The sequence below is a fragment of the Homo sapiens genome, chromosome 6 (genome assembly GCF_000001405.40).
Source record: "Homo sapiens chromosome 6, GRCh38.p14 Primary Assembly".
Lineage (NCBI taxonomy): Eukaryota > Metazoa > Chordata > Mammalia > Primates > Hominidae > Homo > Homo sapiens.
In genome coordinates, this window is record NC_000006.12 from 46,121,668 (window position 1) to 46,147,456 (window position 25,789).

General features: G+C 36.9%; 2 protein-coding genes across 3 annotated transcripts in view, besides 1 other annotated feature; one reads left to right on the plus strand and one right to left on the minus strand.

The window, feature by feature from the left end:
* Positions 1 to 8,152, minus strand: part of CLIC5 (chloride intracellular channel 5) — a 248,993-nt gene extending 240,841 nt beyond the window's left edge. For both annotated transcript variants that reach the window (NM_001370649.1, NM_001370650.1), the window contains exon 1: positions 7,837 to 8,152. The gene's annotated coding sequence lies outside the window, so the exon portion shown is untranslated. The remainder of the gene's footprint in view (positions 1 to 7,836) is intronic.
* ENPP4 (ectonucleotide pyrophosphatase/phosphodiesterase 4) lies at positions 8,322 to 25,021 on the plus strand. Its single transcript, NM_014936.5, has 4 exons — positions 8,322 to 8,522; positions 17,884 to 18,742; positions 19,385 to 19,555; positions 21,609 to 25,021. Exons 2-4 carry the CDS (start codon positions 17,917 to 17,919, stop codon positions 21,971 to 21,973), a joined length of 1,362 nt encoding a protein of 453 aa, NP_055751.1. The 5' UTR covers positions 8,322 to 8,522; positions 17,884 to 17,916; the 3' UTR covers positions 21,974 to 25,021.
* Positions 15,725 to 15,894: an enhancer, noted in NCBI's record as "active region_24650". NCBI's record gives its function as "activates an Ori minimal core promoter by ATAC-STARR-seq in GM12878 lymphoblastoid cells {active_cell/tissue: GM12878}" and the evidence as "EXISTENCE:reporter gene assay evidence [ECO:0000049][PMID:35858748]".
* Positions 25,022 to 25,789: the final 768 nt, after the last annotated feature.

Below are 25,789 nucleotides of genomic sequence, written 5' to 3' on the forward strand. Positions count from 1 at the left end.
TGCTCTATTCAGGAAACCCATCTCTTGTGCAGAGACACACATAGGCTCAAAATAAAGGATGGAGGAAGATCTACCAAGCAAATGAAAAACAAAAAAAGGCAGGGGTTGCAATCCTAGTCTCTGATAAAACAGACTTTAAACCAACAAAGATCAAAAGAGACAAAGAAGGCCATTACATAATGGTAAAGGGATCAATTCAACAAGAAGAGCTAACTATCCTAAATATATATGCACCCAATACAGGAGCACCCAGATTCATAAAGCAAGTCCTTACAGACCTAAAAGAGACTTAGACTCCCACACAATAATAATGGGAGACTTTAACACCCCACTGTCAACATTAGACAGATCAACGAGAGAGAAAGTTAACAAGGATATCCAGGAATAGAATTCAGCTCTGCACCAAGCAGGCCTAATAGACATCTACAGAACTCTCCACACCAAATCAACAGAATATACATTCTTCTCAGCACCACACTGCACCTATTCCAAAACTGACCACATAGTTGGAAGGAAAGCACTCCTCAGCAAATGTAAAAGAACAGAAATTATAACAAACTGTCTCTCAGGCCACAGTGTAATCAAACTAGAACTCAGGATTAAGAAACTCACTCAAAACCACTCAACCACATGGAAACTGCACAACCTGCTCCTGAATGACTACTGGGTACATAACAAAATGAAGACAGAAATAAAGATGTTCTTTGAAACCAATGAGAACAAAGACACAACATACCAGAATCTCTGGGACACATTTAAAGCAGTGTGTAGAGGGAAATTTATAGCACTAAATGCCCACAACAGAAAGCAGGAAAGACATAAAATTGACACCCTAACATCGCAATTAAAAGAACTAGAGAAGAAAGAGCAGACACATTCAAAAGCTAGCAGAAGGCAAGAAATAACTAAGATCAGAGCAGAACTGAAGGAGATAGAGACACAAAAAACCCTTCAAAAAATCAATGAATCCGGGATCTGGTTTTTTAAAAAGATCAACAAAATTGATAGACCACTAGCAAGACTAATAAAGAAGAAAAGAGAGAAGAATCAAATAGATGCAATAAAAAATGATAAAGGGGATACCACCGCCGATCCCACAGAAATACAAACTACCATCAGAGAATAATATAAACACCTCTATGCAAATAAACTAGAGAATCTAGAAGAAATGGATAAACTCCTCAACACATACACCCTCCCAAGACTAAACCAGGAAGAAGTTGAATCTCTTAATAGACCAATAACAGGCTCTGAAATTAAGGCAATAATTAATAGCTTACCAACCAAAAAAAGTCCAGGACCAGACAGACTGACAGCCGAATTCTACCAGAGGTACAAGGAGTAGCTGGTACCATTCCTTCTGAAACTATTCCAATCAATAGAAAGAGAGGGAATCCTCCCTAACTCATTTTATGAGGCCAGCGTCATCCTGATACCAAAGCCTGGAAGAGACACAAGAATAAAAAGAGAATTTTAGACCAATATCCCTGATGAATATCAATGCAAAAATCCTCAATAAAATACTGGCAAACCGAATCCAGCAGCACATCAAAAAGCTTATCCACCATGATCAAGTGGGCTTCATCCCTGGCATGCAAGGCTGGTTCAACATATGAAAATCTATAAACGTAATCCAGCATATTAACAGAACCAAAGACAAAAACCACATGATTATCTCAATAGATGCAGAAAAGGCCTTCCACAATATTCAACAGCTCTTCATGCTAAAAATGCTCAATAAATTAGGTATTGATGGGAGGTATCTAAAAATAATAAGAGCTATTTATGACAGACCCACAGCCAATATCATACTGAATGGGCAAAAACTGGAAGCATTCCCTTTGAAAACTGGCACAAGACAGGGATGCCCTCTCTCACCACTCCTATTCAACATAGTGTTGGAAGTCCTGGCCAAGGCAATCAGGCAGGAGAAAGAAATAAAGGGTATTCAATTAGGAAAAGAGGAAGTCAAATTGTCTCTGTTTGCAGATGACATGATTGTATATCTAGAAAACCCCATTGTCTCAGCCCAAAATCCCCTTAAGCTGATAAGCAACTTCAGCAAAGTCTCAGGATACAAAATCAATGTGCAAAAATCACAAGCATTTTATACACCAATAACAGACAAACAGAGAGCCAAATCATGAGTGAACTCCCATTCACAATTGCTTCAAAGAGAATAAAATACCTAGAATTCCAGCTTACAAGGGATGTGAAGGACCTCTTCAAGGCGAGCTACAAACCACTGCTCAATGAAATAAAAGAGGATACAAACAAATGGAAGAACATTCCATGCTCATGGATAGGAAGAATCAATATTATGAAAATGGCCATACTGCCCAAGGTAATTTATAGATTCATTGCCATCCCCATCAAGCTACCAATGACTTTCTTCACAGAATTGGAAAAAACTACTTTAAAGTTCATATGGAACCAAAAAAGAGCCCACATTGCCAAGTCAATCCTAAGCCAAAAGAACAAAGCTGGAGGCATCACACTACCTGACTTCAAACTAGACTACAAGGCTACAGTAACCAAAACAGCATGGCACTGGTACCAAAACAGAGATATAGACCAATGGAACAGAACAGAGCCCTCAGAAATAATACCACACATCTAAAACTATCTGATCTTTGACAAACCTGACAAAAACAAGAAATGTGGAAAGGATTCCCTATTTAACAAATGGTGCTGGGAAAACTGGCCAGCCATATGTAGAAAGCTGAAACTGGATCCCTTCCTTACACCCTACACAAAAATTAATTCAAGGTGGACTTAAATGTTAGTCCTAAAACCATTGAAACCCTAGATGAAAACCTAGGCAATACCATTCAGGACATAGGCATGGGCAAGGACTTCATGTCTGAAACACCAAAAGCAACGGCAACAAAAGCCAAAATTGACAAATGGGATCTAATTAAACTAAAGAACTTCTGCACAGCAAAAGAAACTACCATCAGAGTGAATGGGCAACCTACAGAATGGGAGAAAATTTTTGCAATCTACTCATCTGACAAAGGGCTAATATCCAGAATCTACAAAGAACTCAAACAAATTTACAAGAAAAAAACAAACAACCCCATCAGAAAGTGGGCAAAGGATATGAACAGACACTTCTCAAAAGAAGACATTTACGCAGCCAACAGACACATGAAAAAATGCTCATCATCACTGGCCATCAGAGAAGTGCAAATCAAAACCACAATGAGATGTCATCTCACACCAGTTAGAATGGCGATCATTAAAAAGTCAGGAAACAACAGGTACTGGAGAGGATGTGGAGGAATAGGAACACTTTTACACTGTTGGTGGGACTGTAAACTAGTTCAACCATTGTGGAAGACAGTGTGGCGATTCCTCAGGGATCTAGAACTAGAAATACCATTTGACCCAGCCATCCCATAACTAGGTATATACCCAAAGGATTATAAATCATGTTGCTATAAAGACAAAAGCACACATATGTTTATTGCAGCACTACTCACAATAGCAAAGACTTGGATCCAACCCAAATGTCCAACAATGATAGACTGGATTAAGAAAATGTGGCACATATACACCACAGAATACTATGCAGCCATAAAAATAATGAGTTCATGTCCTTTGTAGGGACATGGATGAAGCTGGAAACCATCATTCTCAGCAAACTATCGCAAGGACAAAAAACCAAACACCGCATGTTCTCACTCATAGGTGGGAATTGAACAATGAGAACACTTGGACCCAGGAAGGGGAACATCACACACCAGGGCCTGTTGTGGGGTGGGAGGAGAGGGGAGGGATAGCATTAGGAGATATACATAATGTAAATGACGAGTTAATGGGTGTAGCACACCAACATGGCACATGTATACATATGTAACAAACTTGCACGTTGTGCACATGTACCTTAGAACTTAAAGTATAATTAAAATATATATATATATTTTTAAAAAGTTAAAAAAATAGTTTAAGCAAAAAGATAATTTACTGAGTCATGTAAAGTGAAAAGTCCAAGGATGGAGCTTCAGGTTAACTTGGACCCACGTGCTCAATGTCATCACGTGTTGGACTCCAGCTCTTGGCTTTGCTTTCTTCTCAGGTAGACTTTCCCTTTACAGTGACAATGATGGCCACCAGCAGCTTCAGTGATTGCTAAATAGGTAGATTATCAACAATTGCCAAATAGGTAAGCTTATACTCTACCTATTTAGCAATTGTTGCTGAAACAGGGACTCTTTCCCAATTATTTCAACAAAAGTTTCAGAATTGAGTCTTTATGGCCTGGACTGAGGCATGTCCCCATCACTGAACTAATTCATGTGGTTAATGGAGTAAAATTGGCTCCAAAAGGCCAAGTTTGAGTCAGGCTTAGGGTGACCAACTCACCCCGATTTGCTTGTTGCTTTTCTGATTTTAGGATTAAAAATCCCATGTCCCAGGAACCTCTTCCATTTGGGACAAACCAAGATAGCTGGCACCTTAGGAGTCTGCCCCGTGGATGAGGGGAATTAACAGTCAGCCCCATCTGACTCCCATAGTCAAAGAATGAAGGTGGGTTTGTCTCTTGGAGGAATTGCCAGAAGGAGGAGGAATGAATGCTGGGCAGGCAAAAGCAAGAGAGTAATGTCCTCTCCATTCATTTTCTTAGATTAGAGGCACCTTGAGGGCAAGGAATTAATCTTACTTATTTTTGTATCTTTTGAAAAATTGAGCACATTGCTCTCCACATAGGAAAGCCTCAAAAGAATTTATACTGATTCTTTCACAGCTTTATTAAATATTTGAAAAAATTCCTTTAGAGTGAAGGTCTAACACAATAGTTCATGGTGGTTAATACAGAATCATTTTTTAAAGGAGCACTTAAAAATATTTTACAATCTTAACTTGATTGAGATTATTCCAATATAATCTTACTGAAAATGGAGTAGGTGAAAAGTTTTCACCAAAGGAACTTTCAAAATCACTAAAATGCAATGATTCATAAGGTCCTTTTCCCCTGTTATATTTAAGATAAAATCTGTATTACTTAAACATCTAATTTATATTAAAAAGTGAACCTTAAATACTCTCCTTGACATTCAATTATTTAGTTTCAGTTGTGTTGTTGTTTAATTAGAACTGAGCAGTGGACAGGAATTGTTTTTCTTTGGGAAGCGTGTGGCTTTTGCTCTGAAACCTTCTTCCTGTAACTTCTAACTTCTGACCTTCTCCTGGCCAGCAATGAGTTATACATCACAATTAGGAGTATAAAAGAGAAATAATTGTATAGAGAGCTATGTCTTAAATTTTGAAAACAGGATAAGATTTTTAAAATATTTTGTGTTAATGAATAAATGTTCAGTCTTGAGCGTAGTTCATGGGAGAAAAAGAAACTGCCTTTGACATGCTGCTTCCAAATCTGACATTGCCCCATAGAGGCAAATGCTCTAGTTGTACTTAGTTTTTGTGTATTGATAAATAATATTTCTATACATTTATAGGGCAGATGTGATATTTTGTTACATGCATTGAACGTGTAACAATCCAGTCAGGGTATTTAGGGTATCCATTACCTCGAGTATTTATCATTTCTATGTGATGGGAACATTTCAAGTCCTGTCTTCTAGCTATTTTGAAATATAAAATACATTTAACTATAGTCACCCTACTCTCCTATCAAACATTAGAATATATTTCTTCTATCTAACTGTATGTTTGCTCAGTCATTTCTCTGTGGGGTATATTCATTTGTAAATAATAAGTTTAGACTATTGCCTCTAATTCATTTCAATCTCTAACATAAAATGGGTTTAAAGGCTCTCTATATTTCCAAAATTTATATAAAATTCCCTTTGCAAAAGCTGAGCTGAAAGAACATTATAAATGAATATTATTTTGCCTACCTAAATAAAACAACACTTATGCCTAAAAATCACATTGTAAATAAGAAATTTATGTTACTATTATGTTTTCTTTTATTATCATTAAAGTTCTACAATGAAACTATAGTGAACTTTGTGGCCGGCTTCCCAGCACCCATTCCAACTCATTTCCATTGAGAAAAAAAGTAAAGTTTGGGTGAGACCTCAGTTTAAGATGTGGACTGCATTGGTCTACAGGTAACCATATCCTTTGCTGGCTTAGATTTGGATATGTGACACAATTCTGTCCAAAGTGATTAAAGGAGACAGTTGCTGAAGACTTCTAAGAGACAGAAGAAATCTAGACGTCATTTCTATCACCCAGTGGAAGTGAAAAATGAATTACATGGTTCCTGTTGCTGCTGGTAGTTATATTTACCACTAAAGGAACCAGAAGTCTACTCTGTTAAAAGCCAAGTGTAAAGCTGCAAAGAACTGAGTACATTATGAAATCGTTGAGTTGCTAACTCAACCAGTCCTGAAGTCTGCCTTACCTCTGGACTTCTTGTTCCACAAGACGATAAATATCCTTACTATAACAGGATTTTGGTTGTGGTTGAAATGGTAAATATATAGAGGATAACAAAAGTTTAGGGCCAAAGGTCCTTATGTGTCATTTTGTCCCTCTGTTCCTGACCACTTTATCTTACAGAGCAAGAGCCCAGGTGGCATGAGACTCCCTAATTTAACCCAGCCACACAGGCAGTAGCAGTGGATAAAGAGAGTCCTCTCCTGATGCCCATCCAGCTGCTATCTTCACCACACATCTGACCTAGATGGCATTCAGTTTTGTCCACCCTTTAAGCATACATATGCACCTACTGAATGAACAAACAGGATATGCACAATACCCCCAAATGCCACAAAATTTAAGTTCTGCTAATCTTAAATGTTATGTCATTGGACATTACCTAAATTCCCCCAAAACTTGGCCTTACCCTGACTATTGTTCAAATTGGGGTACTTTTTTGGTCATAATGATAATAATCCCCAAAACAACATGTGTCAGATACTGTGCTGAATACTCTACTCGCTTTCCTCATTCATTTGATAGTAAGAGGTTGGTATTGTAACAAGACGCGTTTTGCAGATGAGGAAATGAAAGCTCAAATAGGTTGAGACACTGGCCCATGATTGCTCTGCTGGTGAGTGACAGAGTGAGTATTCAAACCAGGTTCTAGGGTCTGCAGGTTCTAGGGATTCAGCTACAGACCCACTACCATCCCCTCCAGCTCTGAAAGCCCATGGATCTAAGATGCCCATATTCACCAATGCACAGGCCAACCTGAGACTTAAAACTGGAATTAATTTATCAAGGCACAAACTAATAATCAACGGAATACATCTATTGCCAAATCATCTCCATGGCTGCTTCCAGATTGTTGGTAATAGCTATACTGTAAGGTTCAGACCAAGGGGACCAACGTCAGAATTTGTTATCTAAGGTCCAGTACTGCAGTTTACTAATCCAGGTACTGGATTTACAGCTATTAAATACTTAACACTTGAGGATATCACATGTGATTAATATTCTTAATTTATTTGTACTTTTTATTTGAGCTGGAGATACAGTAGTGAACAAGAAAGAAAATACCTTCTGGAGCCTGCATTTTAACAAGCGGGACAATTAAATTCAATAGTGATTTAGCAAGTACTTCTATACCAAGTTCTGTTTGGCACTACAGATAAAAAGAAAAAAGATGCTATCCTCTCACTGCCAAGTGTGCCTGGACAACCCAACTGTTAGCGAATAATTCTACTTCTGTTTGGTAACTGCTCTTTATGTTGGAAAGTTTAGTTACATTATTCTATTAAATAACCTTCCAATTAAAAGCAGGAGCACAATCCCACATACGCGTCTGTCAAAGTAAGCACCCATTTCTCAGCTGTAACTCATTACTGGTTCCCTGCCGCAGGCACTGTGCTGCTTTTAACCTTACTTGTAAACTATTACCTAACTTCCCCGGTAAAGGTGCTCGCTTATCCAGTAAGACGGACAGACGTCTATGGTAGATCCACGTTTCATTTATCCCAACTCACTGGAACTGGCTGAAGCTTCTCCAGACTTGTGCCGGACCTTGGTGCAGCCAAAGTTGCTTTCTCCGCGGCCACCTAAGCTGCCAGGTGCACATTAACTAAGTGGCAGAAGGCCATCGGCTTGGCAATTGCCTGAGGCCTTTCCGGGACTCGCTGGTTTTTAGGTTCCATGAAGGGCATCCAGATCTAGGATGATACGAAAAGTGCGTGGTGGGAGAGTGGAATCAACCTCTACTCTTAGGTCCGATACAACCCCTCCAAGCACCTGTCTAACCAATCGGAAAGAAAGTTACATTCAACGCTGGTTCTAGCATCCAATCCAAGGACGTGTTTCAGACTCTGCTGCCCGGTCCCAGCCAGCCCTGAGCTGGCGCCTTAGACGCTCGCCTGGCAGCTGCGCACACTCGGAGCGCCCCGAGCGGCGCAGATAGGGACGTTGGGGCTGTGCCCCGCGGCGCGGCGCCTGCCACTGCGCAGGCGCCTCAGGAAGAGCTCGGCATCGCCCCTCTTCCTCCAGGTCCCCCTTCCCCGCAACTTCCCACGAGTGCCAGGTGCCGCGAGCGCCGAGTTCCGCGCATTGGAAAGAAGCGACCGCGGCGGCTGGTGAGTACGCGCCTCGCGCGCTCGGCGTTCTGGGGGGCAATGTCACCCCCTCTCCAGTCCCCTAGGGGCTTTGAAAATAGAGATGGTGAGACCAGACCCTATGACCCACTCTCCCCCACTACACGCACATCCCCTGGGGCGCGGCGGGGACGTCCACGAAGGGACTCAAAGAGCCAGGGAGGTGGCGGGCCGAGGCGGAGGCCAGGAAGGGAAGAGGAAAGAAAAATTAGCAGGTGCTGGGGAAGGCAACCTGTGGTGTTAAGTGTGAAGGGAGGGAAGTCAGCCGAACGGTAGTGGAGGAACCTAAGGTGGGTCTGGGGTAAAATTGAGGGGAGCTGGGGCGGGGTCGCCAGGCTTTTGGTTTTAAAGGAGAACCACCCATGGCATCGACATCCGTCTGTCTGAATATTAGATTAGAGTTTATGTTAATTATAGATAATGATATTTAAGAACTAATTTCCTGGAAAACAAGCCAACCAAACAATAAAAGGTACATTTAAGTGCCTTTTTAAAGGGCTGGATTAAAAGCACGTAAGGACTTAAAAACAATGCTTCCTTTTCTTGTCACAACCACCCTATGAGATCATAGCATTCCCATTTTACAGATGACGAAAGTCAGGCTCAGAGAAGTGAAGGGACGCGTCCAACCAAGATTGTACAACTAGTGACAGGCAGATTCAGGTTTACACCAGATCTGACTCCAGAAGGGCTTTGCTTAATCAGGCAATCTTGTGGACCCAAGTCTGAAGGAAGATTTGCCAACTACTGTGAAATATCAACTGCTGGTTTCAGTATTATGAGCTTCTATTTCTTCTTTTTTCCCCTCAGAGATTGTTTCAATCTGTTTTAAGGAAATTAAGAGGCCTGCTGCACTTGTGCGTCTTCCCCCCACCTCCACTTAAATTAGTTACAGGATATAATTTGGAAGACATTTTTTTTTATGGTCTCAGGTCTTAGATTTATTTATTTATTAATTATTATTATTATACCTTAAGTTTTAGGGTACATGTGCACAATGTGCAGGTTAGTTACATATGTATATATGTGCCATGCTGGTGCGCTGCACCCACTAACCCATCATCTAGCATTAGGTATATCTCCCAATGCCATCCCTCCCCCTTCCCCCCACCCCACAACAGTCCCCAGAGTGTGATGTTCCCCTTCCTGTGTCCATGTGTTCTCATTGTTCAATTCCCACCTATGAGTGAGAATATGCAGTGTTTGGTTTTTTGTTCTTGCGATAGTTTACTGAGAATGGATTTCCAATTTCATCCATGTCCCTACAAAGGACATGAACTCATCATTTTTTATGGCTGCATAGTATTCCATGGTGTATATGTGCCACATTTTCTTAATCCAGTCTATCATTGTTGGACATTTGGCTTGGTTCCAAGTCTTTGCTATTGTGAATAATGCTGCAATGAACATATGTGTGCATGTGTCTTTATAGCAGCATGATTTATAGTCCTTTGGGTATATACCCAGTAATGGGATGGCTGGGTCAAATGGTATTTCTAGTTCTAGATCCCTGAGGAATCGCCACACTGACTTCCACAATGGTTGAACTAGTTTACAGTCCCACCAACAGTGTAAAAGTGTTCCTATTTCTCCACATCCTCTCCAGCACCTGTTGTGTCCTGACTTTTTAATGATTGCCATTCTAACTGGTGTGAGATGATATCTCATTGTGGTTTTGATTTGCACTTCTCTGATGGCCAGTGATGGTGAGCATTTTTTCATGTGTTTTTTGGCTGCATAAATGTCTTCTTTTGAGAAGTGTCTGTTCATGTCCTTCGCCCACTTTTTGATGGGGTTGTTTTTTTCTTGTAAATTTGTTTGAATTCATTGTAGATTCTGGATATTAGCCCTTTTTCAGATGAGTAGATTGTGAAAATTTTCTCCCATTTTGTAGGTTGCCTGTTCACTCTGATGGTAGTTTCTTTTGCTGTGCAGAAGCTCTTTAGTTTAATTAGATCCCATTTGTCAATTTTGGCTTTTGTTGCCGTTGCTTTTGGTGTTTTAGACATGAAGTCCTTGCCCATGCCTATGTCCTGAATGGTAATGCCTAGGTTTTCTTCTAGGGTTTTTATGGTTTTAGGTCTAACGTTTAAGTCTTTAATCCATCTTGAATTGATTGTTGTATAAGGTGTAAGGAAGGGATCCAGTTTCAGCTTTCTACATATGGCTAGCCAGTTTTCCCAGCACCATTTATGAAATAGGGAATACTTTCCCCATTGCTTGTTTTTCTCAGGTTTATCAAAGATTAGATAGTTGTAGATATGCGGCGTTATTTCTGAGGGCTCTGTTCTGTTCCATTGATCTATATCTCTGTTTTGGTACCAGTACCATGCTGTTTTGGTTACTGTGGACTTGTAGTATCGTTTGAAGTCAGGTAGTGTGATGCCTCCAGCTTTGTTCTTTTGGCTAAGGATTGACTTGGCGATGCGGGCTCTTTTTTGGTTCCATATGAACTTTAAAGTAGTTTTTTCCAATTCTGTGAAGAAAGTCATTGGTAGCTTGATGGGGATGGCATTGAATCTATAAATACCTTGGGCATTATGGCCATTTTCACGATATTGATTCTTCCTACCCATGAGCATGGAATGTTCTTCCATTTGTTTGTATCCTCTTTTATTTCCTTGAGCAGTGGTTTGTAGTTCTCCTTGAAGAGGTCCTTCACATCCCTTGTAAGTTGGATTCCTAGGTATTTTATTCTCTTTGAAGCAATTGTGAATGGGAGTTCACTCATGATTTGGCTGTTTGTCTGTTGTTGATGTATAAGAATGCTTGTGATTTTTGCACATTGATTTTGTATCCTGAGACTTTGCTGAAGTTGCTTATCAGCTTAAGGAGATTCTGGGCTGAGACAATGGGGTTTTCTAGATATACAATCATGTCGTCTGCAAACAGGGACAATTTGACTTAATTTGGAAGAAATTTTGATGAAAGGACAAGGAGTAATGGAGGGAGGTATTTTACTATGTAGAAAGTAAGATAAGTGTAAGTGTTTTGAAGCTGCTAGAAAACTTTGTGTATGCTAGAAATTTCTGTGTATTTTACAAAATTGGAGAATAATTTAGAATCCTACGATTTTTAAGACTAAGGAATTTTTAAGGAGTATATTTTTTTCCTTAGACTATAAGAAAGCAACTGATAATAATCTAAAGATAACTGCCTTATTTATAGTCATAGAATAAAGTTTTTAAAGGTGTATGAGAGTTTCATTGTATTACAGAGCAGATGGCGTGCTAATAGTGACAAATATCTTTCACCATATCCTGTAATGGTTTATACTCTCTTGGCTTCACATGGGCTAGGAATGCCAGTGAGAGTTGACTGCATTCCATCCAGGGAAGAACGTCTTCCCAGAGAAATTAGAAGGTAGTTTGTCCCCTGAATTGAAGACTAACTCATACTTCCATTTGTTGTAGGGATATTTGGTTGCAGTCCAGAGAGGTCTGCTTTTTTTCTTCTCTTTGACATCTTTTTGGTGTGAAAAATTACAGAATTTCTCTCAATGTTTTATACTGTAACAGTTTCATTCCCTGCAAACTTTATTTTCATTCCTTGGAAACTGCTTGAGAACTTCTCATTGTTGGTTTGTCTGTAGCTTAACACTCCCTATTAGAATGAGACAGAATGTGGCAGACATGGATCCGGCACTGCTAATAAAAGGTGTTCTATCAGGAAGAGTTCTGTTAATAGTTTGGAGATTATTATCAGACTTGTTAACTTGCTATTACTGGACTTGTAAACTTATTGAGGACATGAAATTAGTAAGAACACAGTGAAGCAACTGATTGCTTTCTGAGCCCGGCTAATCACTGGACTTTAGCTTCATCATAAGCAAAGTCATATGCAAGGTCATCATATGCGAAGAGATGAGACTAAATTATTCCTAATGTATTTTATAGTTTCACAATAATATTCTGCCTATCATAGTACAGTCTTGTTTTTTTTCCCAACATCTTTGTAACTAGAATGATAAAGGGAAACTAATTTTGAGGGCCTATTCTGTAACCTTTACACATCCTCATTTTACACACAAGGAAACAGAAGCCAAGAAAAGTTGGATCTACCCAAGATCACCCATCTACTAATTGTGAGTTCAGGTTCTGGGACCCTTCTGACTTCAGTCTATAGTCTTTCCACTTTGTCTGTACTACTTATCCTGAGAACAAGGACTGGGACGCTTGGATCCCAGCAGTGTGCTGAGGGATTACTGAGCCACAGGATTAACAGCATGTGTTCCTGGAGCATCCTTTTAACTCAAGATTTGAGGAAGAAGCATTTTGATTTGTGTTTTGTGGGAGAGGACGGACACAGGTTTTTGGTCTGTTTTGCACATGGGAAGTGGTATAAAACTTTCACATTAAAACACTCAAGTGTGTATTTTGGAGTATAAAATTCACTTTTTTGAGGTAAAATGAGATCAAAAATGTTTCCTGTTTTGTGGCAGGACATTTCAGATTACAATTTCACTTCCCTCTGCTCTTTTTTAAAAAATAATATTTTATTGAGATATAAATCACACACCATTCAATTCACTCATTTTAAGAGTACTGCTTTATGGAGCTGTGCAACTGTCATCACAATCAATTTGAAAACATTTTCATAACCCCAAAAATAAACTTTATACTTACTGGCATTTATTACCCATTTCCCCCCCAACCCCTGGCCCTAGATAGTTACTATAGTTACTTTTAGTCTCTATAGATTTGCCTGTTCTAGACATTTTATCTAAATGGAATCATATAATAAGTGATTTTTTGTGACTGCGTTCTTACATTTAGCGTATTTATCCAGGTTATAAAATGTGTTAGCACTTCCTTCCTTTTTGTGTCAAATAATATTTCATTATATGGATATATTACATTTTATTTATCCATTCATAAGTTAGTGCACATTGAGATGTTTCCACTTGATTCTTACAAATAATGCTGCTGTGAACATTTGTGTACAAGTTTTTGTGTGGACATATGTTTTCATTTCTCTTGAGCACATACCTAATAGTAGAATTGCTGGGTTATATGGTAGCCCTATGTTTAACCCTTTGAAGACTGCCAGAATATTTTCCAAAGTGGCTGTACCATTTCACATTTCCAGTAGCAGTTTATAAAGGTTTCAATTTCTCTATCAACACTTGTTGTTATCTATTTTATTTACTCATCCTTCGGGGTGTGAAATGGTACCTTATTGTGGGTTTGATTGCATTTCTCTGATGACTAATGCTGTTGAGCATCTTTTCATGTGCTAATTTGTCATTTGTGTCTTCTTTGGAGAAATATCTTTTTCAGCTCATGCTCATTTTTTGACTGGATTATCTGACTTTTATTATTGAGTTGTAGCAATTCTTTATATAGTCTAGATACAAATCTCTTCAGATATATGATTTGCAAATATTTTCTTCCATTCTCTGGGTTGTCTTTTCACTTTCTTGATGGTATCCTTTGAGGCACGAGACTTTTTAATTTTGAAGTCCAGTTTATTTCTCTTTTTTGGTCACTTGTGCTCTTGGTGTGGTATCTAAGAAGGCTCTGTTGAACCCAGGGTTACAAAAATGTACTCCCACATTTACTCCTACATTTTCTTTTAAGAGTTTTACAGTTTTAGCTATTAATCTAGGTCTGTGATCTACTTTGAATGAGTTTTTGTGTATGGTATGAGGCAGGGCTTCAATTTCTTTTGCATGTGGATATCCAGTTGTCCCTCTACCATTTGTTGAATTGTCTTGGCACCCCTCTGCTCTTAGAGGTAAATCTACTGGAAAATTTTTGGACATACTGTGATATTCCATTTGTAGTAATTTCTCTAACACCTTAGCTTTTAAAATAATACATTATGGTGTATGAATCTCAAACACACTGTTACAAATATGTACTCATAAATTTATGAGTATTTTTCCCCGTGAGAAGATACTGTGCCACCTATTTGCTGATTTAAGTCTATTCTGTTATTTGGTGTTGTAGAACAAAATTGATTAAAGTGTAAAGCCTGTCTTTCTTTTTCCAGTTGGCAGCCTGATTTATTATTTTGGTTCTTTATGCTCCTGTTTTGATTATTATATATTTGAAAAGTATAAGTTCTTTGTCCCCTAATACATGGCACATACATATACTTTTGTGTTATGGAATTAGTGATAGTAGATATTTGTTGAATGATTTTTTACAAAATGACCCAGGTGTCTGCTGAGTTAACCTTCATATGTAGGAACTAATTTTAGGATATTCTGGAAGTGCAAACTAACACTGAAGAGCTATTATAGGCCACCAAGATGAACGATGATTATACTTTACATGTTGTTGTAATACATTTCAGAAAGACCATGGCAATGAAGTATGGTGAATGGAAATTCAAGTTGGCAGTTATTTCTGTATTTATTTCACAGTAATTTGCATGCAAGTTGGACCTGGATATTGGAGGGGCTTCAATGTGAGACTGAGGCATTTGGGCTTTTTGTATAGGCAGGGGGGCCTTTTGAATATATTTTAAATTAAGGGAACATGAACAGAGCTGTGCCCAGAGAGACTGAGTAGGCAGCAGGTGTGAGGTAAGAAAGTGGAAGGTGGTTGAGGTAGAAAGGTGAATTAAGAGACAAAAGTGCTCTGGACAAGAGGTATTGAGGACTAAAAAATATAGCAGTAGTAGAGATGGATGAGTGGGTAGCTGTTAAAAATGCTTGTTTCAAATGCAGGTTTCTGGCCTCTACTGTGGACTGACTGAATCAGAATCTCCTAGTTATAGTGACTTGACAGCTGCACTTTTAACAAGCTCCCTTCAGTGATTCTTTTGTCTGATATGCTGTATTAGATGATACGAAGATAGAATTGACTAGACTGGCAACTGATCATATACTCAGGGGATCTCTTTGTTACTGAGAGAATGGCGAAGCTGTTTTAAAGGGTTGGGAACTAAGGAAGGGGGAAAAGATTTGGAGGTATAGAGAATGCATTCCATCTGACACATATCAGATTGGATTTGGCAGCAGAACAGCTGTGCAGTGGGATAGGATTGGTTGGGAATATAAAATAGTTACACAGGGAAAGAGCCAGAGCAGTAAATAGTGTTTTTCAAAAATTAAGTTTATGAGTATGTTTTCCCTGTGAGAAGATACTGTGCCGCCGTATTTGCTGATTTAAAAGTCTACTCTGTGATTGGAAAGAAATATTTGGATATGGGGAACTATACCCAGAGAGAAACCAGGGAATCTACTCAATCCAAGCTTTCATGGAGACCTGCATGCCCTTGACACAAGTTCTAAAATTGTAGCAACCCACATGATACTGTCATCTGATTGAACCCAGTTAAAACTCTCTGAGGGAGGAGTTAAGTCATACATAAACACTGTGTTGAGGGCATAAAATATTGAATGAACGGGTAAGTACCATTGTCTAGATTCTTGATAGCTGAAATTGCTGTGCTATGACTAGGGCTGTGTCTGTGGAAATACCCATATGCCTCCTCTACCACTCATTAGGTTTGTTACTCTGTCTTTTGGAGAGGTGGTTTTGTTACTCTGCATTAGTTTTGGTTATTAGGGAGCACCAGGAACAAATGTTCCATGCACCACATTCAGAAGGCAACCTGTCTCCGATTAAAATAGTAGAGATTTTGTAGACCCCAAGATCCTCATAAATCAGATTCTGTGCCTTTGGTCTTCCTAATTTTAAGTCAGTTTTTCAGAGGATCACAGCCTCTGTCAGTATTTGACCACAAGTACGCAGATCCTCCAGGTGGCATGTTTGAAAGAAAGAGAGAAAGTGTTTCCAGTCTACTTGAGAGAATACACAATAAATGACTCCTGAACTTCATAATCATATTAGTTAACTTGCTGCTCTTCATACCTGGGACCTCAACATGCATACCCGTTACCATGTTCAGGGTCTTCTTAGTCTGAAATAATGCATTCACTTGTTGCATTCTAACTGCAATCCCAGATCTTTGTAACTTTCACTAAAAGTTACTCTTAACTAATCTTCATTAGTTCTTTGACTTCACCAGAACCTCTAGTTGAAAAACTTCTCTACTTCTTACTTACATCTGTCAGTTTCAGCTTAGATGCTGCAGCCCCAATTTCAGCTGCTCTTTAGTTAGCATCTTCAGCTTCCTTTGTCTTCCTTCAGTTTCTGGCAGAATCTCAAATCCAGGTAGGATCAGCTGCCTGTTTTGTTCATGCCTGTGCCAGGTTTACTGAGTTGCTAGAGAAAACCAGTCAACTGTGTCACTATGAAAATTCATGACAGCTGTCAACATTGACTCCAGTTCTACTGTTTACTCACACTTTCTCCCATCTTCCACATTAACTATTTCAGACATTCTTTCTGTTCCTCAAACCTCTGAACCTTTTACCATTCTACTCCCTGTCAATAATTGACCCTACCTCCGGCAACTCTCTTCACCTCCAGCCCTCAAATCTGTCAGCTCCCCTACCTTTGCTCCTTCTCTCCTGTTACAATGGAAGAGGCATCCTGTCCATCTGAAGTGAATCATTTTACCTCACTCACATGTCCTATTTTCTTAGAGACCAAAGAAGATAGAGAGCAAAGGCAGGGAGATTTATTAGGGAAAAGCTGTTTTTGTCATCAGTGAATTGATTTAAAGAAAGAACAAAAAATCAGAGATAGCTTTAAGCCTAGGGTATTAGTGAAAATAGTTGTTGATAGCTAAAAGGAAGTTTAAGAGGGATGTGGTAATAAAACTCATTTCAATAGCTATTGGATTTCTTCATAAGTTACTGGAGCATCCATGTCCATGTAGGCTTTGCATGTTTGTTAATCAACTTCATGTGACTATTGGGGCACATACAGACTGATGGGGGCTTTTTTCTCAATAGCATTTATTTCTTATTCCCCCTTTTTTATAGCAATATTTTCAACAAGAACTGGCAATAAACCAATATGGTAGAATTTCCACCAATTATTTCTGTGGGTTAAAGAAACTATAAAGTACAATTTATTAAACTGGAAAAATAATCATCATCTCTGGAGCCTCTGAAAGCTTGGCATTAACGTTATGTTTTACAAAAGAATCATTTTAGTGTCTGCATCTATTTTTATTAAGCCTTTCGAAGAATTTCTAATGTGGCAAATGAGCTGACAGCCTAGAAGGAGTATTGATGTGGAGTATAAAAATGGCCCATATGAAGGATAGAGTAGGGCATATATATAAATAGGAAATTGGACAAGACAATTTTTTTTCCAATTTTAGCTTTTAGTTATTTTTAAATAAATGGTATTATTTAAGTTAATATAGGTAAAGCTGGCATATAAATGTTGGTTCTCTCCTCCTGTGGGCTAAAATTCTAAAACTTAACCCAAATGAAATAGAATTACTACTTATGAGTTGTGTTTTTACATTTTAGGAACCCTGATTGCTGTCCTTCAACGTGTTCATTATGAAGTTATTAGTAATACTTTTGTTTTCTGGACTTATAACTGGTTTTAGAAGTGACTCTTCCTCTAGTTTGCCACCTAAGTTACTACTAGTATCCTTTGATGGCTTCAGAGCTGATTATCTGAAGAACTATGAATTTCCTCATCTCCAGAATTTTATCAAAGAAGGTGTTTTGGTAGAGCATGTTAAAAATGTTTTTATCACAAAAACATTTCCAAACCACTACAGTATTGTGACAGGCTTGTATGAAGAAAGCCATGGCATTGTGGCTAATTCCATGTATGATGCAGTCACAAAGAAACACTTTTCTGACTCTAATGACAAGGATCCTTTTTGGTGGAATGAGGCAGTACCTATTTGGGTGACCAATCAGCTTCAGGAAAACAGATCAAGTGCTGCTGCTATGTGGCCTGGTACTGATGTACCCATTCACGATACCATCTCTTCCTATTTTATGAATTACAACTCCTCAGTGTCATTTGAGGAAAGACTAAATAATATTACTATGTGGCTAAACAATTCGAACCCACCAGTCACCTTTGCAACACTATATTGGGAAGAACCAGATGCAAGTGGCCACAAATACGGACCTGAAGATAAAGAAAACATGAGCAGAGTGTTGAAAAAAATAGATGATCTTATCGGTGACTTAGTCCAAAGACTCAAGATGTTAGGGCTATGGGAAAATCTTAATGTGATCATTACAAGTGATCATGGGATGACCCAGTGTTCTCAGGACAGACTGATAAACCTGGATTCCTGCATCGATCATTCATACTACACTCTTATAGATTTGAGCCCAGTTGCTGCAATACTTCCCAAAATAAGTAAGTAAACATTCAACTGAGGGATACTATTATTCGAATGGGGCAATTGATTGAGGGGGGTGGGTTGTATAAAAGAATGAAGCTCTAGCTTTTTGTAGTTTAGAACCATATACTCAGAGTGGGATTATATGTTTTTTTCCTCTTGTTTACAAGTTGAGAGCAGTTGGCCTATGGTTTAGTTATATGGCTTATGGTTTAGTTTCAAAGTGAGTATTTCTTTGCTTTTGATATATCTAATTATTTGCACTAGAAAAAGGAAATTTTTATCCTTAAACATCTTAGATTTTAGTGTGTGATATTTAGTGGTGAGGTACTTTCTTCTACTGATCATAGAAGTAGTAGTTAGTAGTAACATGTAATTAGTTTATGTTTACTTAGGAAGATACACCTGAAAAATGTCCCCTATCTGTAAAAGTCCACCATGGTAATCCACAAAGTGAAACAGATTTGTTAATGTTTGAGAAAGGTGTGTGTTTGTGTGTATCAGTCCCCAACACTCTCACATTATTATTGCTCTGTTTTTTTAAGAAGTGATTTAATAGATGACATTATCTATAATTTACTTCCAATTATTCTAGTTAGACATATTTTTTCCTTATCAATCATAACTTGTTTCCTTTGCTGTTTCTTTTTTTTTCTCAGATAGAACAGAGGTTTATAACAAACTGAAAAACTGTAGCCCTCATATGAATGTTTATCTCAAAGAAGACATTCCTAACAGATTTTATTACCAACATAATGATCGAATTCAGCCCATTATTTTGGTTGCCGATGAAGGCTGGACAATTGTGCTAAATGAATCATCACAAAAATGTAAGTATTTAGTTGAGATATTTCTGTTGTATCCTAGGAACAAATCATACCTTGTGATACTGTTGTGTTAAGAGGGTACTTCGATTTAAAGAAGTTCACACAGAATAATTAGTTCAATTTTCAACCAGATAATTCCCAGGTCTTCATTTAATAGCAATTTACAGTAATCACAATTTCACCTTTAAATTAGAAAGTAAATTTAAGAGTGAAGGCAAAGTCCTACTTTCTTTCCAAAACTGCAATTACTGTCAGTAATTTTCAAGATTCATTCTCTTGATTTATACAAAATAGAGAAGTAAAGAAACAGTAAAAGGGGAGAGATTAGCTAATCCTTGTTCTTTTGTGTGTTAAAAAAAATTTGTCTGAGTAACCCTAAGTCTTCCCCAGTAACAAAATCATTTACCTGAATGCTACAGCTATTTAGAACACTGGGCAAGAACCAGAAAGTAACCAAACAAATCCACCAAGTGAACAAAATAGATACATCAAAATCTCTCCTAAAAAATATATAGGGGAGAAAATGTATAGGGGTGAGTTACAGGCTTGCCTCAAACTGAAGCTTATTTATCCATATTTCATATTCAATTCAAATGCTTTTTTTAAAATCTAATTTTGTGGTCTATGGTAGGGGTCAGCAAACTTTTTTAGTAAAGGGCCAAATAGAAAATAGTTTAGGCTTTGTGGGCCAGCTGGTCTCTGTCTCAGCTACTCTACTCTGCCTTTATTGTGTAAAAGTAGCCATAGACAACCTGTAAAGAAATTGAAGTGGTGTGCTTCGGTGAAACTCTGTTTACAAAAAGGATGGAGGGCTAACCTTCGCTATGGGCTGTAGTTTACAGTTCCCTGATATATAGCAATTTAGAAGTATCAGGCAAGCATAGGACAGACTCAGAATCAATGAAGTTTGTATATTATTTACATCAATGTTATGTTGCATATTTGTTGTTGACAACCGAAAGTATAGAAAAGCATAGGAAAGAGAACAAAAACTATCCATAATCCCTCAGTATGGATTTATAGGCAAATGTTAATTGTGGACATTTCTCCCCATCCAATCTTTTTTCATATATATATTCTTTTCTAATATATATCTATATTATATATATTATATGTAATATAATTATATGTAATATATATAATATATATAATGTATATTATATATTATATATAATATATAATTACATATAATTATAATATATATTTTCTACATATATATGTAGAATATATTATATATTATATATAGAAAAATATATATTTTTTTCTAATATATGTGTGTGTGTTTTAATATTATTGAAATCTTTATATATTCTGCTTTTTGTCATATTGGTTATTTTTATGATGAAATATTTCAAACATACCACCAAAGAATAATATAACAAATATCAGTATACTCATCACCCAGTCACCCGTACTTAATATGAAAGTGGGAGCTTATTAAATACAACGGGTGTACGTTAAATGGCAACATTTGTTAAAATAAAGCTAAAAATTGGGAATTTATTATTGGAGTTGTATTAGGGACTATCATATGCTTTTCTTTAAGTCTAACTTTTACTGGGATAGAGTCACCAGATTAGACAACACATTCAACGCAAGATCCCTCCTGTAACAATTGAGATAGGTTAGGCTGCAGATTTTCTTTTTCTCCATTTGTTGGCCTTACTCACTTCTGTTCTTCCCAGTTACACAGAACCCTCAGCCTGACCACTGTCTTTATAACTGGTACTGCTTGCAGTGAGCTTTTGCAAACAGTGCTGAGATTGACAAGTGAAGTAATTGGTACTCGGGCTGAAAGATAAGTACATCAGGTTGACAAGTGGTGGTAAAGTCTGAGGGTATGACCAGTTGGGAAAAGGGGCATATGTGTGTGTTTGTGTGTGTATGTGAGAGAGAGAGAGAGAGAGGGAAATATGGAACATAGCTGAGTTGAAGAAATAGAAATTTTTATTTCTAGTCCCTTTCTGAAAGAATTGAATGTTTATATACTAGAAGCAAGTTATTTTGTCCTAAAAAGTCTGATCTTATTGACTGATGTTGTTTTGTTCTTTTTCAGTAGGTGACCATGGTTATGATAATTCTTTGCCTAGTATGCATCCATTTCTAGCTGCCCACGGACCTGCATTTCACAAAGGCTACAAGCATAGCACAATTAACATTGTGGATATTTATCCAATGATGTGCCACATCCTGGGATTAAAACCACATCCCAATAATGGGACCTTTGGTCATACTAAGTGCTTGTTAGTTGACCAGTGGTGCATTAATCTCCCAGAAGCCATCGCGATTGTTATCGGTTCACTCTTGGTGTTAACCATGCTAACATGCCTCATAATAATCATGCAGAATAGACTTTCTGTACCTCGTCCATTTTCTCGACTTCAGCTACAAGAAGATGATGATGATCCTTTAATTGGGTGACATGTGCTAGGGCTTATACAAAGTGTCTTTGATTAATCACAAAACTAAGAATACATCCAAAGAATAGTGTTGTAACTATGAAAAAGAATACTTTGAAAGACAAAGAACTTAGACTAAGCATGTTAAAATTATTACTTTGTTTTCCTTGTGTTTTGTTTCGGTGCATTTGCTAATAAGATAACGCTGACCATAGTAAAATTGTTAGTAAATCATTAGGTAACATCTTGTGGTAGGAAATCATTAGGTAACATCAATCCTAACTAGAAATACTAAAAATGGCTTTTGAGAAAAATACTTCCTCTGCTTGTATTTTGCGATGAAGATGTGATACATCTTTAAATGAAAATATACCAAAATTTAGTAGGCATGTTTTTCTAATAAATTTATATATTTGTAAAGAAAACAACAGAAATCTTTATGCAATTTGTGAATTTTGTATATTAGGGAGGAAAAGCTTCCTATATTTTTATATTTACCTTTAATTAGTTTGTATCTCAAGTACCCTCTTGAGGTAGGAAATGCTCTGTGATGGTAAATAAAATTGGAGCAGACAGAAAAGATATAGCAAATGAAGAAATATTTTAAGGAAACCTATTTGAAAAAAAAAGCAAAGACCATTTGATAAAAGCCTGAGTTGTCACCATTATGTCTTAAGCTGTTAGTCTTAAAGATTATTGTTAAAAAATTCAGAAGAAAAGAGAGACAAGTGCTCTTCTCTCTATCTATGCTTAATGCCTTTATGTAAGTTACTTAGTTGTTTGCGTGTGCCTGTGCAAGTGTGTTTGTGTGTGGTTGTGTGGACATTATGTGATTTACTATATAAGGAGGTCAGAGATGGACTGTGGCCAGGCTTCCACATTCCTGAAGCACACAGATCTCAGGAAAGGTTATTTTTGCACTTCATATTTGTTTACTTTCTCCTAACTCACAAGTTAAAATCATAACTTAATTTCATTAACTTTTATCATTTAACTCTCTCATGTTTGTTGTAACCTGAGGTATCCAAATGCTACAGAAAAATTTATGACCCAAATACAAATCTCAATTTGACTGGGACAGAATGAGGAATGGAGATTTTTGTATTTATCTTTGGGACTTTATGCCTTACTTTTTAGGCTATAGAATAGTTAAGAAATTTTAAACAAAATTTAGTATCTTTTGGTCTTTCACACCATTCATATGTTAAGTGGCAGAATAGCCTTAGTGCTACCTCCACTTTTTTCTCCAGTATTTGCATCACAGAAATAATCCCTCTGTTTAACATGTTTGTTCAGAGCCAAGGGTTTATTGTGAAGAACTGTCATCCTGCCTTTGCTAGCTGGTACCTTCTAGTAATCAAAATTAATATGAAGAAACTAGGTTGTGACAGACTAGATTATATTTAGTAGGGGAAAAATTGGGCTCAAGAACCATTCATCAGTACGTGAGACAAGCAGTTAATAGTATGATCTTTAAAGTTTTGACAATATAAAATAAACTTGGTAACTGTTTTACAAATATAAAAGTATAATAAATATGCAGCCCAGTTAAATATTGATTATCTGTGATGGTAAAGAACAACAGTGGTGCCAGTCATCAAACATACAGTGCGTCCTATTGAGTCACTGCTAATTTCTTGAGCCTGGTATTTGCTGCCTATTGTATTTGTGGTTGTTGAGAGGCATTTTCAAACCCTGTATAAATAATCCATGCTGTTGGTCATAAGTTAACTGTATTAAGAACAGTAAAATAAATAAAAACCAATAGTACTAATTTTGCTTTAAAAAAATTTCTAATTTTTTTCACATAAAACAATTATCCTAAAGGTTAATAGTTGATCGAAACAGAATAATAGAAAAATTCTACTTTAATTTCCATTAAAAAGCAAATAGCATTGACACATTTAAAGCTTTTCATTTAAAGTAGTGGATGTTTTTGAAGTATCTAAAATAGTAGCAGAATATTTTATACTTGGTCCTTGCAATGGTGTGAGTTTTAATGATTGCATTATCGTGATTGGTGGTTATGAGTTTCAGAAATCTATACTTGGCATCCAACTCATGAGTGGATTTTATATAGGATGGAACAGGAAGGTATGTCCTGTCAGTATCTTAACCCTTTCAACAAGACATTTACCTATTTGTCTTTCCTTACGTTCTCAAAATATTAACTCGAATTGTAAATTAAGCAAAAATTTAAAAAGTATATGTTGATGGGACAAGAAGAATAGTATTTATTTAATAAAACATATATTATATTGAACTATGTGTTAATTCATTTGTATCTTTTAAAAAATTATCACTGTTAAAGCCATTGACTCCTTTAGTACACTGAGAAAAATCTTATAGTAAAACTAGCCTTTCACATTAAGGTTTTGGTGTGTATTTTGTTAAATAACTAACATGCTGCTCTATTTTCTGGGTGTAGAAAGTATTTGGCTCTAGGAAACATTTACTTGTTTGTGAAAACAATACCCCAAGGTAATAGGAAAAGTTTGAGTTAAGTGTTTTTAATTCAGTCAGTGAATTCAGAATAAGTACATTCATGTATAACATAGGGACAGTTCTGCTGCTGTTATTTATATGCAATTCTTCTGGTAAATAGCAATAGAATAAAACATATTTCAATGTTTGTGTATAGGTTTTATATTATTATTCCACTAGGAATGGCATAAGAATTTATAGATAAATTCTTGTAACATTAAAGGATTAAAATGTTTTTACATTGTTTTTGGGTGTCTCCTTCTTGTGCCCATATCTGATAAGCTTTATGGATTATTGCATTTAATTCCTTTTATTTGGAGGGTTTTACTTCCTTGTTAACATATAAAGTTATAAATGAAGGACAAGGAGGAGATGGAAAATGTGTATTTATTGTTAATTCTTAAAATAGTGTGTAAATAAAATAACATCAGTGTGCTTTAAAGAAATGTGTATGTAGTGCCTTAATTTAAATTAAAATATTTTTGACTGTTACTTGAGTTCAGAATTAATGACTTTGTTCATGATTTTTAAAATGTGTGTGAATAAAATCTACCAAAAAATTCTTACTGTAATTATTAAATATAAAGTTCAGTGTCACTGGTGATTTTTACATTTGTTACCTTCTTGCAAAATATACTTACTGTGCTAGATGTTGACATGACTTAGTAATATTATAGAAGCCCACATAGGTGTTTATTAGGATTTTTTAACTCTTTAACAAAAAGTTTAAAACAGTGTGTAAGTATACAATCCAGCATAAGAACATCATTGGAAAGAAAGCCAAGATAAGTTTTATAGAACCTCCAGAGCTATGATTTATTGGCTTATGGTAGAAGAGAAGAGGTTTGAAAAAAACCGATTATAAAATAGTGGGGATGGTAGGGGAAGCATTATAATGTTTAAACTTTGTACATAGCCATAGGCATTTAATGACTTGTCCAATTGAATATAGATTCAAGAATTCTCCTATTAGAGCAGTGATTAATTCATTTCCTATTTTTGTATTAAAAGAACTCTGCTAAGAATTGTAGGAAAACAAAAGAATAAATGGAACATTTTTTACTCTGAAAGAGAATTATTTCAAAAGTGGTAAAACTTTATTTATACCAACAAATTACCTATGTGTACTCATGGGTTAACTCTTGCTGCTGAGAGCCTTGTATCTAGAATCATTTTCCAGACCTTGTGCTTCCTGAGGTTCAGATGCTAATTTTGCCTCTTCCCCCAACTCCCAGCCTCCTTAGTGCCTATGTTTGGTTATTATTACATCCTTCTCACCCCATCCTCCACTAGTGTACTCACACACACATTCACAACCATTGCTTGAAAGAATATGTGAGAATCTAAATGATCC